The following is a 14,019-nucleotide window of genomic DNA, read 5'->3' as shown; positions in this document are numbered from 1 at the left end:
AACAAAAAAAGTGGTGTAGGCCACTTTTTAGCAGCACAATCTTGTCCAAGCAAAACTTGAATAATAGAATAAAAAATCATCATATATGCAAAGACGCCTTGAAAGTTCACCAGTTCTTGCAGTGGGCCTCTGCACACCCCTGGGATGAGTAAGGTCGGTTGTGTGTGTGTGACTGGGATGGTTGGACTTGGATGCCCCCAGACAGCTTGAGGCTTGAGTTTCTTTCTTTTTTTTTTTTTTTTTTCTTTTTGAGACGGGAGTCTCGCTCTGTCGCCCAGGCTGGAGTCCAGTGGCGCGATCTCGGCTCATTGCAAGCTCCGCCTCCTGGGTTCACGCCATTCTCCTGCCTCAGCCTCCCAAGTAGCTGGGACTACAGGCGTCCGACACCACGCCTGGCTAAATTTTTGTGTTTTTAGTAGAGAGGGGGTTTCACCGTGTTAACCAAGATGGTCTCAATCTCCTGACCTCATGATCCGCCCGCCTCGGCCTCCCAAAGTGCTGGGATTACAGGCGTGAGCCACCGAGCCCAGTCGAGGCTTGAGTTTCTAAAGACAGAAGATAGAATTAGGCAAAAGAAGCTTTGGGGTTTGGATCCAAAGAGGCTATCTGAATCATCTCTATTTCAACTTCCAGCAGGAAGCTGCTTTCAAACTGTTCATCTTAACGTTATCAGGGTAAACTTCCTGTTGGATCTTAACATCAACTGACATAAAATTCAAAGCTGTTATTTTCCACATTATTTTTATAACAAATACAATCAATTCAACAATGTTTTAAAGTCACCGAAAGATCACACTGTATTGTGTTGACTCAGCATCTCCCTTGTCCCTGTAACAAGCTTATCAGTGTCTTTTCATATTAAATACTCTTTTGTAACATGATTGATAAAGAGTAAACTCTATTTCACTGCACAAACATGTAACCTTAACAAGAACAACTAATATTTATGAGACAATGTGCTGGGTACTGTTCAAGGTATTTTATACATATATTAATCTATTTAATCTTTTTTTTTTTTTTGAGATGGGGTTTCACTCTGTCACCCAGGCTGGAGTGCAGTGACACGATCTTGGCTCACTGCAATCTCTGCCACCTGGGCTCAAGCAGTCCTCCTACCTCAGCCTCCCGGGAGCTGGGACCACAGACATTTGCCACCACGCCCGGATAATTTTTCTATTTTTGGTAGAGACGGGGTTTCACCATGTTGGCCAGGCTGGTCTCAAACTCCTGAGCTCAAGTGATTCGCCCGCCTCGGCCTCCCTAAGTGCTAGGATTACAGGCGTGAGCCACTGTACCCAGTCAATTTAATCATAATAACTGAAGGTTGTGGGTCCTGTTACTATCCCCATTTTACAGATGAGGATATCTGAAGCCCAGGGAATTCAAGGGTGACATTTTATTGAACTGGTTCCCTTACGTTTTTTTTTTTTTTTTTTTTTTTAAGACATGGTGTCAACTGGGCGTAGTGGCTTATGTCTGTAATCCCAGCACTTTGGAAGGCTGAGGCGGGAGGATCACTTGAGTCCAGGAAGTTGAGACCAGCCTGGGGAACAAAGTGAGACCCCATCTCTACCAAAAATTAGGCATGGTGGTACATCCCTGTAGTCCCAGCTACTCGGGAGGCTGAGGCAGAAGAATTGCTTGAGCCTGGGAGGTTAAGGCTGCAGTGAGCTGTGATCATGCCACTACACTCCAACCTGGGCAACAGAGCGAGACCCTGTCTCTTAAAAAAAAAAAAAGAGGTCGGATGTGGTGGCTCACACCTGTAATCCCAGCACTTTGGGAGGCTGAGGCGGGCAGATCACCTGAGGTTAGGAATTCGAGACCAGCCTGGGCAACATGGTGAAACTCTGTCTCTACTAAAAATACAAAAAATTAGCCGGGCATGGTGGCAGGAGCCTGTAATCCCAGCTACTTGGGAGACTGAGGCAAGGACAATCACTTGAACCCTGGAGGCGGAGGTTGCAGTGAGCTGAGATCGTGCCATTGCACTCCAGCCTGGGCAACAAGAGCGAAACTCCATCTCAAACATAAATTAATTAAAAAAGAGAGAGCGACATGGGGTCGGCTGGGCATGGTGGCTCGTACCTGTAATCCCAATACTTTGGGAGGCCAAGGCAAGAAGATCACTTGAGTCTAGGAGTTTGAGACCAGCCTGGGCAACACAGTGAGACTACATCTCTACAAAAATAAAATTAGCTGGGTGTGGTGGTGTGTGCTCATAGTCCCAGCTACTCAGGAGGGTGAGGTGGGAGGATTGCTTGAGCCTGGGAGGTCAAGGCTGCAGTGAGCCATGCCACTGCACTCTGGCTTGGATGTTAGAGTAAGACCCTGTTTTTTTTTTTTGTTTTTTTTTTTTGTTTTTTTTAAAAAGAGAGAGATATGGGGGTATCTTGATATGTTGCCCAGGCTGGTCTCGAACTCGTGGCCTTGAGGCATCCTTCCACCTCAGCCTCCCAAGGAGCTGAGATTTACAGGCATGAGCCACTGCACCCAGCCCTGAACTGGTCCCCTATTTGTGACTGGCATTGGGTTTATTTCCATGTTCTTTTTTCACCATAAAGAGTGTTGTGATAAATACCTTTCCCATTCACTTCCACCTTCTCTCAACAGAGCCCTGCCCCTTCATCCCACCACTCTGCTTCCAAAGAAATATGATGGAATGAAATAACAGAAGAGTCAGGAATTCGAGTCAGGGATACCTGGGAAATTCTGTTTCACCATTGGAATGAATTCTTTTATTGTTTTTCAATATTAACATATTAAATTTATAAAAATTATTTTTAAAACCTCTTCCTATAAGGCTATAAGATACTAGACAAAACAAGCTGATGAAAGGTTTGTTGGCTGGGCACTGTGGCTCACGCCTGTAATCCCACCACTTTGGGAGGCTGAGGAGGGTGGGTCACTTGAGGCCAGGAGTTAGAGACCAGCCTCGCCAACATGGGCACCTCTGCCTCCCAGCTCAAGCGATTCTCGTGCCTTAGCCTCCCAAGTAGCTGGGACTACAATCGTGCACTACCATGCCAGGCTAATTTTTGTGTTTTTAGTAGAGATGGGTTTCACCATATTGGCCAGGCTGGTCTCGAACTCCTGACCTCACGTGATTTGCCTGCCTTGGCCTCCCGAAGTGCTGGATTACAGGCATGAGCCACTCAGCTGGTTTTTCTTGATTAAACATTCCTCTGCTTGTTACAAGCTTTCGGTTAGTTTTCAAAGTTTGAGACCTGCCTGACAGCATGGTGAGACTCTATCTTTACAAAATAAAAAAAAATAACCAGGCATGATGGTGTACACCTGTAGTCCCAGCTATTCAAGAGGCTGAGGTGGGAGATCACTGGAGCCTGCGAAGTTGAGGCTGCAGTGAACCGTGATCACACCACTGCACTCCAGCCTGGGCAACGCAGTGAGACCCTGTCTCAAAAAAAAAACAAACAAACAAACAAAAAAAAAAAAACAAGAAATGCAAAGGAACGCAGTGGACCACATTGGCTGTGTCTGCTTTTCATTGCTACCACAGGCTGAAATAAAATCTCAAGTTGGGCCCCAACTTCAGAGGACAAAGTAAAAGTGTAGGTGGGAAAGTGTAGGTGGTTCAGGGTACAGGTGTGCTGAGAATCAAGGCCAGAGAGAGAAACGGGAGGAGCCATGGAGCTGAGGTGTAATTGGAGTGGAGACACGGAATCCTCATTCACTTATCTCATCCCTGAAGTTTCTTCCTAAATGGGGTGAGTGGGGGTTGGGATATGAGTTCATAACTTTCATCATTTCCTGATGGGAAAACATTTGCCTCTGAAGCCAAAGTTCTCACAACCCCCAAATGGGGGTTGGTGACAACTCTCTATGCCCTAAGTCAGAAATAAAATTTCTGCCTTTGGAAAAAGCCTCAAACGGAGCACTGTGCGGTCCCCAGCGTGCTGAACTAGCAAGCCAGCCTTCTGACAGATACTTCTTCAGTCCCTGGAGCTACGATTCTAACTGCCAAGATCAATAGTAAGAAAATAATAATGTAAGAAATTGGTAAACTTGTAAATGAAATAGTAGTTTGGCCGGGCATGGCGACTCATGCCTGTAATCCCAACACTTTGGGAGGCCATGCGGGTGGATCACTTGAGGCCAGGAGTTTGAGACCAGCCTGCTCAACATGGTGAAACCCCATCTCTACTAAAAGTAGAAAAATTAGCTGGGCATGGTGGTGGGTGCCTGTTATCCCAGCTACTGAGGAGGCTGAGGCAGGAGAATCGCTTGAACCTGGGAGGTGAAGGTTGAAGTGAGCCGAGATCACGCCACTGCACTCCAGCCTGGGCAACAGAGTGAGACTCTTCTTAAAAAAAAAAATAGTAGTTTGGTTATTGTTGCTGGGGGGCAGGTGTGAAAAATAAATTTGAACTGAAACCAGAATGCACAAAGCCTTGGACTGCTGAGCGTGAGGATAAGGCGGACGTTAAAGCCTGTCGGCCACGGATTCAGAGCCAGCGGAAATCACTTCACAGGGGTAGGACTAGGATCACTCTGGTCTTAAGATCTCAATTCAGCTTGCCCAGTGAGGCATTCAGGGCTAGATTGCAGATCTGGGAGTGTTTAGCCCTTGCATCTGATATCACAGTCCCAGGCAATTACAGCCCTTGATTCTCTTTCTTTCCTGCTAATATGTTGAACTACATCTCATGCTTTTCAAATGTCAAGCCACCCTTGCTGTCCTGGGATAGGTCCCACCTGGTTGTGGTGATAGCCTGCATTACTGAGTGCTGACTATACTGATCTTATATGTACTGTCACAAACCTAAGGAGGTAGGTATGACATTTAAGCCCCATTTTGAAGATAGGGAAAGTGAACTCTAGAGGGGTTTACTGCCCATGGCCACAGATGTAGACAATATTAGAACTAGTATTTGGACTCCAGTGGGAAGTCGAACTGTTTTGTTTTTTTTTGTTTGTTTGTTTTTTACTTTAAGTTCTGGGATACCTGTGCAGAACATGCAGGTTTGTTACATAGGTATACATGTGCCATGGTGGTTTGCTCCACCTATCCACGCATCATCTAGGTTTTAAGCCCCGCATGCGTTAGGTATTTGTCCTACTGCTCGAACTAGACTGTTTCTTATCCTGGACACCAGAAACCACCAACCACTGGTAACCAGCCAGCATTGTTGACAATAATGCCCCGTCCTTCTCCTAGCTCTGTGCACCCCCAGCACTAAGTCCCAGATCTAGTTCTGTTCCTGGTCTCTTCTGACCTCCAGGACTGCTCTATGCACCAAGGTCTGCAATGGCGTCCAGCTACCGTGAGGGGCTGATCTCCTCCTAGGCTTCCTCTCCAACCTCACCTCTTGGCACTCTTACTCCATCAGGTTATGTTCCAGCCACGCTGGCTTCCTGTCACATGCTTTGAAAACTGTACAAAGTGTTCCTGGTATCTGGAATGCTCTTTGCTATGACTCACTTCCCTGACACTTCTCATCCCATGGTCATGTCACTAATAACAAGCACTTTATTTATGCCAGGCACTCTTTGAAGCACTTTATTTATTTATTTATTCATTTTAATTTGTTATTTTTTTGAGACAGTCTCACTGTCATTCAGGCTGGAGTGCAATGGCGCAATCTCGGTTCACTGCAACCTCTGCCTCCCGAGTTCAAGCAGTTATCCTGCCTCGGCCTTCCGAGTAGCTGGGATTACAGGCATGCGCCACCATGCCTAGCTAATTTTTGTATTTTTAGTAGAGACGGGGTTTCTCCTTGTTAGCCAGGCTGGTCTCGAACTCCTGACCTCAAGTGATCCACCCGCCTCGGCCTCCCAAAGTGCTGGGATTACAGGTATGAGCCACTGTGCCCAGCCTGAAGCACTTTACATTAATAGAAAACCTTGTGTAATCCTTACAACAGCAGTCTTGTGAAGTAGATACTATTGCCATCTCATCTCACAGGTGAGGAAATGAAAACAAAGAGAGGAAGTGACCTGCCCAAGGTCACACAGCCAGTAAGCAATGGAACTGGATTTATATGTAGGCCACTTGGCTCCGAATCCCTGTTCTTAACCACAACACTAACACCAACTGTCAAGTTACTTTTTGTGAGCTCATCTAGTGTGGATTCCTAACAAGTACTTTGTCATCCCGCCCTCGCTTTGCTTGATCTGTCAGCAAACCCTGTGAGTTCCACCTTCAGAATATGCCAGAATCCGAGCTCTCCTCTCGGCGTCCACTGCCGCCACCACCATCACTGGTTTGGATGACTGCAGCAGCCTCCTCACCACTGCCGTCCTCGCCCCCTCTCCTCAATCTGTCCTCACGGCAGCCAGAATGATCCTGTTGCAACCCAAGTCAGCCCAGGGCCCTCCTCTGCTCAGAGCCCTGCCGTGGCTCTCATCTCTCTCAGAGAAAAAGCCAAAGTCCTCTCCGTGGCCCACGAGGCCCTCCGGGCCCTCCCTGACCTCACCACCCACCACTGGCCCCTGGCTCACTCTGCTCCTGCCCCGCTGGCTTTCTTGCTGTTCCCCACACACCAAGCAAGCTCCTGCCTCAGGGCCTTTGCACCTGTTTGCTTTTCCCTCTGCCTTTAATTCTCTTCCAGATGTCGAAGCAAGGTAAGGCTGACAGGTTTGGTTGGAAATGAAACAAGCCCTAGTTACATTCAGATGTTACTTACGTGGACCACGAAAGCAAGAACATCCACAGATTCTGGTTCATGTCCCTTGTGCCGGGCAACACCGAAATGAAAGGGGCGAGATGACCACACACCAGGTGGCAGGACACCTTGTTGCTGAGGAGCTAATTTCATGCTGCAGCTAAGCAGTTCTATAGCCCAGAGGTGAGGGGTAGAAAGCCTCAAACCCCACCAGAACCTCAGGAGGTGGGGAGAAAACTGTCTCACAACAGGCTCCTTGGTAGATAGGAGGTGAATGGTAAATGGCCTCGTGAGAATTCCCCACAGACCTTCCGTGCTCTGTGTTCCGAGGATTACAGGGCGTTCTGCCAAGACTTACATCAGCTTACCTACGTGGCCCATGTGGAGACGTGCAACGGAGCCAGAGCGCTATGGAGGAACCATTCCCACGAACTAGACCACTGGATATCCTCCTTGACTGCTCTCCCTCGAACATCGGGTCTCTGTTGAAAGGCACCTTTTCAGAGTCACCTTCCCTGACTGCCATGTGTAAACCATCACATCTCACTCTCCACCCCCACCCTGCTTTATTTCCCTTAATGCTTCCCACTCCCTAACATTACATTACACGGCAATGTTTTAGCTTATTGTAGGTGGACCCCACCAATGCATGATATAATGAAACTTCACAAAATCAAGTTTTAACAAATTTAAGAAGAATGAAATCATATCAAGAGCCTTTCTGACCACAATGGTATAAAAGTAGAAATCAATAAAAGGAGGAAAATCAGAACACTCACCAATATGTGGAAATTAAACAATACACTTCTGGCTGGGCACGGTGGCTCATGCCTGTTAATTCCAGCACTTTGGGAGGCCAAGACAGGAAGAGCTGTTTTTTTTTTTTTTTTTTTTGAGACGGAGTCTCACTCTGTCTGGAATGCAGTGGCACTCTCTCTGCTCACTGCAACCTCTGCCTGCCAGGTTCAAGCGATTCTCCTGCCTCAGCCTCCCAAGCAGCTGGGATTACAGGCGCCTGCCACCACGCCTGGCTAATTTTTTGTATTTTTAGTAGAGAGGGGTTTCACCATGCTGGCCAGGCTGGTCTCAAACTCCTGACCTCAAGTGATTTGCCCACCTCGGCCTCCCAAAGTGCTAGGATTACAGGCATGAGCCACTGCACCCCGCCAGGAAGATCTCTTGTGGCCAGGAATTCAACACCAGCCTTAGCAACATAGTGAGACCCTTGTCTCTACAAAAAATAAAAGAATTAGCTGGGCATGGTGGTGTGCGCCTGTAGTCTCAGCTACTTGGGAGGCTGAGGTGGGAGGATCCCTAGAGCTCAGGAGGTGGAGGTTGCAGTGAGCTGTGATCTTGCCACTGCACTCCAGCCTGGGTGACAGAGCAAGACCCTGTCCCAAAAAAAAAAAAAAAAAAAAAAGAAAAAAGAAATAAAGATCTCAAATAAACAACCTAACTTTATACCTCAAGGGACTAGAAAAATAATGAAGTCCAAAGTTAGCAGAAAGATGGAAATAACAAAATCAGGGCAAAAATAAATGAAATAGATGAAAAAAATATAAAAGATTAATGACACTAAGAGTTGGTTTTTTGAAAAGATGAACAAAGTAAATAAAATCAGAAACATTACAAGTGAAACGACAGAAAAACAAAGGACCTGCCAGGCACAGTGGCTAACGCCTGTAATCCCAGCACTTTGAGAGGCTGAGGTGGGAAGATCACTTGAGGTCAGGAGTTCGAGACCAGCCTGGCCAACACGGCGAAACTCCATCTCTACTAAAAATACAAAACCTAGCCAGGCATGGTGATGTGTGTCTGTAATCCCAGCTATCCAGGAGGCTGAGGCGGGAAGGATCACTTAAGCCTGGGAGGTTGAAGCTACAGTGAGCCGTGATTGTGCCACTGCACTCCAGCCTGGGCGACAGAGTGAGACCCTATCTCAAATAATAATAATAAGCCTACTAAACACTACTATGAACAGTTGTTACACAAATTGGATAACCTAGAAACAATGGACACATTCCTAGAAATATACACTCTACCAAGACCGAATCAGGAATAGAAAATCTGAACAGACTGATAACAAGTAAGGAGATTGAATCATTCATCAAAAATCTCCCAACAGGACGGGCACGGTGGCTCACGCCTGTAATCCCAGCACTTTGGGGGGCCAAAGTGGGCAGATCACCTGAGGTTAGGAGTTGAAGACCAGCCTGGTCAACATGGTGAAACCCCGTCTCTACTAAAAATACAAAAATTAACCGGGCATGGTGGTGGGTGCCTGTAATCTCAGCTACTCAGGAGGCTTAGGCAAGAAAATTGCTTGGTCGTGGGAGGTGGAGGTTGCAGTGAGAGCCGAGATCAAACCACTCCAGCCTAGGCGGCAGAGTGAGACTCCGTCTCAAAAAAGGAAAAAAAAAATTGAAGAAGAGGGAACACTTCCAAACTCATTTTATGAGAACAGAATTACCCTGATGCCAAAGTCAGATAAATGGTAGTGGGGGTGGGAGGAGGTGGGGATGGTTAATGGGTACAAAAAATAGAAAGAATGAATAAGATCTAGTCTTTGACAGGACAATAGGGTGACTATATCCAATAAAAATTTAATTATACATTTAAAAATAAATAAAATAAGCTGGGCGCGGTGGCTCACGCCTGTAATCCCAGCACTTTGGGAGTCCGAGGTGGGCAGATCACCTGAGGTCAGGAGTTCGAGACCAGCCTGACCAATATGGAGCACCCCCATCTTTACTAAAAATACAAAATTAGCCGGGTGTGGTGGTGCATGCCTGTAATCCCAGCTACTCGGGAGGCTGAGGCAGGAGGATTGCTTGAACCTGGGAGGCAGAGGTTGTGGTGAGCCGAGATCGCGCCATTGCACTCCATCCTGGGCAACAAGAGTGTAACAGTCTCAAAAAAAAAAAAAATAGCTGGGCATGGTGGTGTGTGCTCATAGTCCTAGCTGCTGGGGAGGCTGAGGTGGGAGGACTGCTTGAGCCCAGGAGTTCGAGACTGTAGTGAGCTGTGATTGTGTTACTGGACTCCAGCCTGGGCAACAGAGCAAGACCCTCTTTAAACACACACACACGCATGCACACACACACACACACACACACACCCAGTGGAACAGGATCAAGGGCCCAGAAAATAGGGAGTCTCTCTGAGCCTACTCTGGCTTGGGAGGCTGCCTGATAAAAACAAAAAACAAAAACCAACCCCCAAAACCCAAGAGAGCCCAGAAATAAACCCACACATACAATATAAACTAATCTTATCCCCCGCCACCCAAGACGGAGTCTTGCTCTGTTGCCCAAGCTGGAGTGCAGAGGTGCGATCTCGGCTCACTGCAACCTCTGCCTCCTGGGTTCAAGCGATTCTCCTGCCTCGGCCTCCCAAGTAGCTGGGATTACAGGCATGTGTCACCATGCCCGGCTATTTTTTTTTTTTTTTTGTATTTTTAGTAGAGACAGGGTTTCACCATGTTGGCCAGGCTGATCTCAAACTCCTGACCTCGTGATCCGCCTGCCTTGGCCTCCCAAAGTGCTGGGATTACAGAGGGGAGCCACCGCGCCCAGCTAGTATCAACTAATCTTTGACAGAAGTGCTATGAATACACAATGGAGGAAAGACAGTCTTCAATAAATGGTGCTGGGAAAAATGATGGACCCTTATCTTACACCATACACAAAAACTAAAAATGGATTAAAGACTTAAACATAAGATCTGAAGCCATAAAAGTCCTAGAAGGAAACCAAGGGGGAAAACTCCTCGACATTGGTCTTATCGATGATTCTTTGGACATGAAACCAAAAGCACAGACAACAAAAGCAAAAATAAACAGCCAGGTGTGGTGGCTCGCGCCTGTAATCCCAGCACTTTGGGAGGCCGAGGTGGGTGGATTGCCTGAGCTCAGGAGTTCGAGACCAGCCTGGCTGACATGGTGAAACTCCATCTATACTAAAAATACAAAAATTAGCCGGGCGTGGTGGTGCACACCTGTAGTTCCAGCTACTCAGGAGGCTGAGGCAGGAGAATCGCTTGAACCTGGGAGGCGGAGGTTGAGCCCGAGATCGTGCCACTGCACTCTAGCCTGGGCAAGACTCTGTGTTAAAAAAATAAGCAAGTGGGACTACATCAAACTAAAAAATTTCTGCACAGCAAAGGAAAAACAATCTACAAAATGAAAAGGCAACCTATGGAATGGAAGAAAATATTTTCAAACCATTTATCTTATAAGGGATTAATATCCAAAATATATAAGGAACTCATATAACTCAATAGCAAAACCCCAAATAAACTGATTTTAAAATAGCCAAAGTACCTGAAAAGACATTTCTCCAAAGAAAACATACAAATGGCCACCAGGTATACAAAAAGGGGCTCAACATCACTAATCATCAGGGAAATGCAAATCAAAACCACAATGAGATATCAACTCATACCTATTAGGATGGTCACTATAAAAATGAGGAAAGGACCAGACATGGTGGCTCATGCCTGTAGTCCCAGCACTTCGGGAGGCCGAGGCAGGTGGATTGCCTGAGCTCAGGAGTTCGAGACCAGCCTGGCTGACGTGGCAAAACCCCATCTCTACTTAAGGTACAAAAATTAGCTGGGTGTGGTGGTGGGCACCTGTAACACCAACTACTCGGGAGGCTGAGGCAGGAGAATCGCTTGAACCCAGGAGGCGGAGGTTGTAGTGAGCTGAGATTGCACCATTGCACTCCAGCCTGGGTGAGAGAGTGAGATTCCATGTCAAAAAAAAAAAAAAAAATAGGAAAGATAACAAGTGCTGAAGGGAACTCCTATACACTATTGTAGGAATGTAAATTAGTACAGCTAGTAGGGAAAATTGTGTGGAGGTTCCACAAAACATTAAAAATAAACTACCAAGTCCGGGCATGGTGGCTTATGCCTGTAATCCCAGCACTTTGGGAGGCCGAGGCGGGTGGATCATGAGGTCAGGAGATGGAGACCATCCTGGCTAACATGGTGAAACCCCGTCTCTACTATACAAAACATTAACCGGGCATGGTGGTGGGCGCCTGTAGTCCCAGCTACTCGGGAGGCTAAGGCAGGAGAATGGCGTGAACCCGGGAGGCAGAGCTTGCAGTGAGCCAAGATCGCACCACTGGACTCCAGCCTGGGCGACAGAACAAGACTCTGTCTAAAAAAATAATAATAATAAAAAAAAATAAACTACCATAGCATCCAGCAATCCTACTTCCAGGTATATATCCAAAAGTTATGAAATTACTATCTCAGAGATATATGCACTTCCATGTTCATTGTAGCATTACTCACAATAGCCAAAACGTGGAAACAACCCAAATGTCCATGGCAGATGAGTGGATAAAGTAAATGATGTGTATATGTACAGTGGAATATTATTCAGCCTTAAAAAAGGAAATTCTGCCATTTGCAACATGGATGGAGGACATTATGCTAAGTGAAATAAGCCACTCGTAGAAAGACAAGTACTGCATGATCTCACTTGTATCTGCAGCCTAAAAAAAGTCAAACTCATAGAAATGGAGTACAATGGTGGTTACTAAGGGCTGGGGGAATTTTTGGTCAATGGGTACAAGCTTTCAGTTATAACATGAGTAAGTTCTGGAGATCCAATGTACAGCATGGTGACTATAGTTAATAACACTGTGGTGTATACTTGAAATTGTCTAAGTAGATGATTAAGTGTTCTCATTTCACTCACAATAAAGGTAACTAAGGTGATAGATGTGTTAATTTGCTTTATTGTAGTGATCATTTTAAATGTGTATATTTATCAAACACCCTGTTATACATCTTTTTTTTTTTTTTTTGAGATGGAGTCTTACTTTGTTGCCCAGGCTGGAGTGCAGTGGCACGATCTCGGCTCAGTGCAACCTGCACCTCCTGGCTTCATGGAATTTCTCCTGCCTCAGCCTCCCGCGTAGCTGGGATTACAGGCATGCGCCACCATACCTGGCTAATTTTTGTATTTTTAGTAGAGATGGGGTTTCACCTTGTTGGCCAGGCTGGTCTCGAACTCCTGACCTCAAGTGATCCACCCACCTCGGCCTCCCAAAGTGCTGGGATTACAGGCGTGAGCCACTGCACCTGGCCTATACATCTTAAATATACTTTTTTTTTTTTTGGTTAACCACACCTCAAAAGAGCTGGGCAAAAAATTAATGTGAAAAGTTTCCATCAAAAAAGGACTAATAATCCAGAAAAGATTTGCTAAATAAGACTGGGCATGGTGGCTCACACCTGTAATCCTAGCACTTTTGGAGGCCAAGGTAGGAGGATTGCTTGAGTCCAGAAGTTTGAGACCATCCTGGACAACATAAATATAGTGAGACCCTGTCTCTACAAAAACCAAAAAAGATTATTGGGCATGGGTGATGCATCCCTGTAATTCCAGCTACTCTGGAGGCTGAGGTGGGGGGATTGCTTAAGCCTGGGAGGTCGAGGCTAGAGTGAGCTGTGATCATGCCACTGCATTCCAGCCTGGATGACAGAGCAAGATGTCATCTCAAAAAAAAAAAAAAAGTAAAAGAAAAGATTTGCTAAACAAGCTTATAGTAGGGGCATTAATTGATCTTATAGTGTGAATATTGACAGTGTGAATATAGGGTGAATATTACGCGGTTTTGTTTTGTTTTGTTTTGTTTTTTTATTGAGACAGGGTCTCGCTGTTACCCAGGCCAAAATGCCACTCACCGCAGCCTAGACCTTCCAGGCTCAAGCAGTCCTCCCACCTCAGCCTCCCAAGTAGCTAGGACCACAGGCGTGCACCATCACACCCGGCTAATTTTTATTTTGGTTTAACAGGGGCAGGGGGCAGGTGGCGGGTGCGCCTCACTGTGTTGCCCGGGTTGGTTTGGAACTTCTGGGTTCAAGCGTTCCTCCTGCCTCAGCCTCCTAAAGTGGTGGAATTACAGGTGTGAGCCACCGCACCCAGCCCAGATGTACTTACATTTAAAAAATATAGACATTTGTTCTGAATGTGATCACCTGTAACAGAAACATGTCCTTTGGGGCCACTGCTATGAGAAGGTGGGCAGGGACACTGCAGAAGTCAGACGACAGATAGGGAAACAAGAGGGCCCTTTTAAGGCTCCCACTGTAGAGACTATGGTGTTGTACATGGGAGCGACGCTGTCTGAACAAGATCAGGGTGAGGATCATAGAACGAGACAGGAAGCAGCCATCCTGGTTCACCCACAATTAACACCAAAGATGTTAAAAGGTTAAATTCACAGTAAATCATTTCTCCTGAAATAGAGGAAGATTCTGTCTTTATGTTGTTGTGCTTGTTTTTAAATCATCAATATAGTTTAACACATTCTAAGCAGTTTTGTGTGGGATAATTTGAAGGACATGGGTAAACTCTAAAAAATCTTTTCAT

The 14,019-nt window shown here is 46.2% G+C and overlaps 1 pseudogene; it reads left to right on the top strand.

Moving 5' to 3' along the window:
• On the top strand, nucleotides 13,584–14,019 carry MRPL32P1 (MRPL32 pseudogene 1; annotated as a pseudogene).

The sequence above is a fragment of the Homo sapiens genome, chromosome X, assembly GCF_000001405.40.
Source record: "Homo sapiens chromosome X, GRCh38.p14 Primary Assembly".
Lineage (NCBI taxonomy): Eukaryota > Metazoa > Chordata > Mammalia > Primates > Hominidae > Homo > Homo sapiens.
The sequence above is the reverse complement of the archived record's forward strand: the minus strand, read 5'-3'. Positions and strand labels throughout refer to the sequence as shown.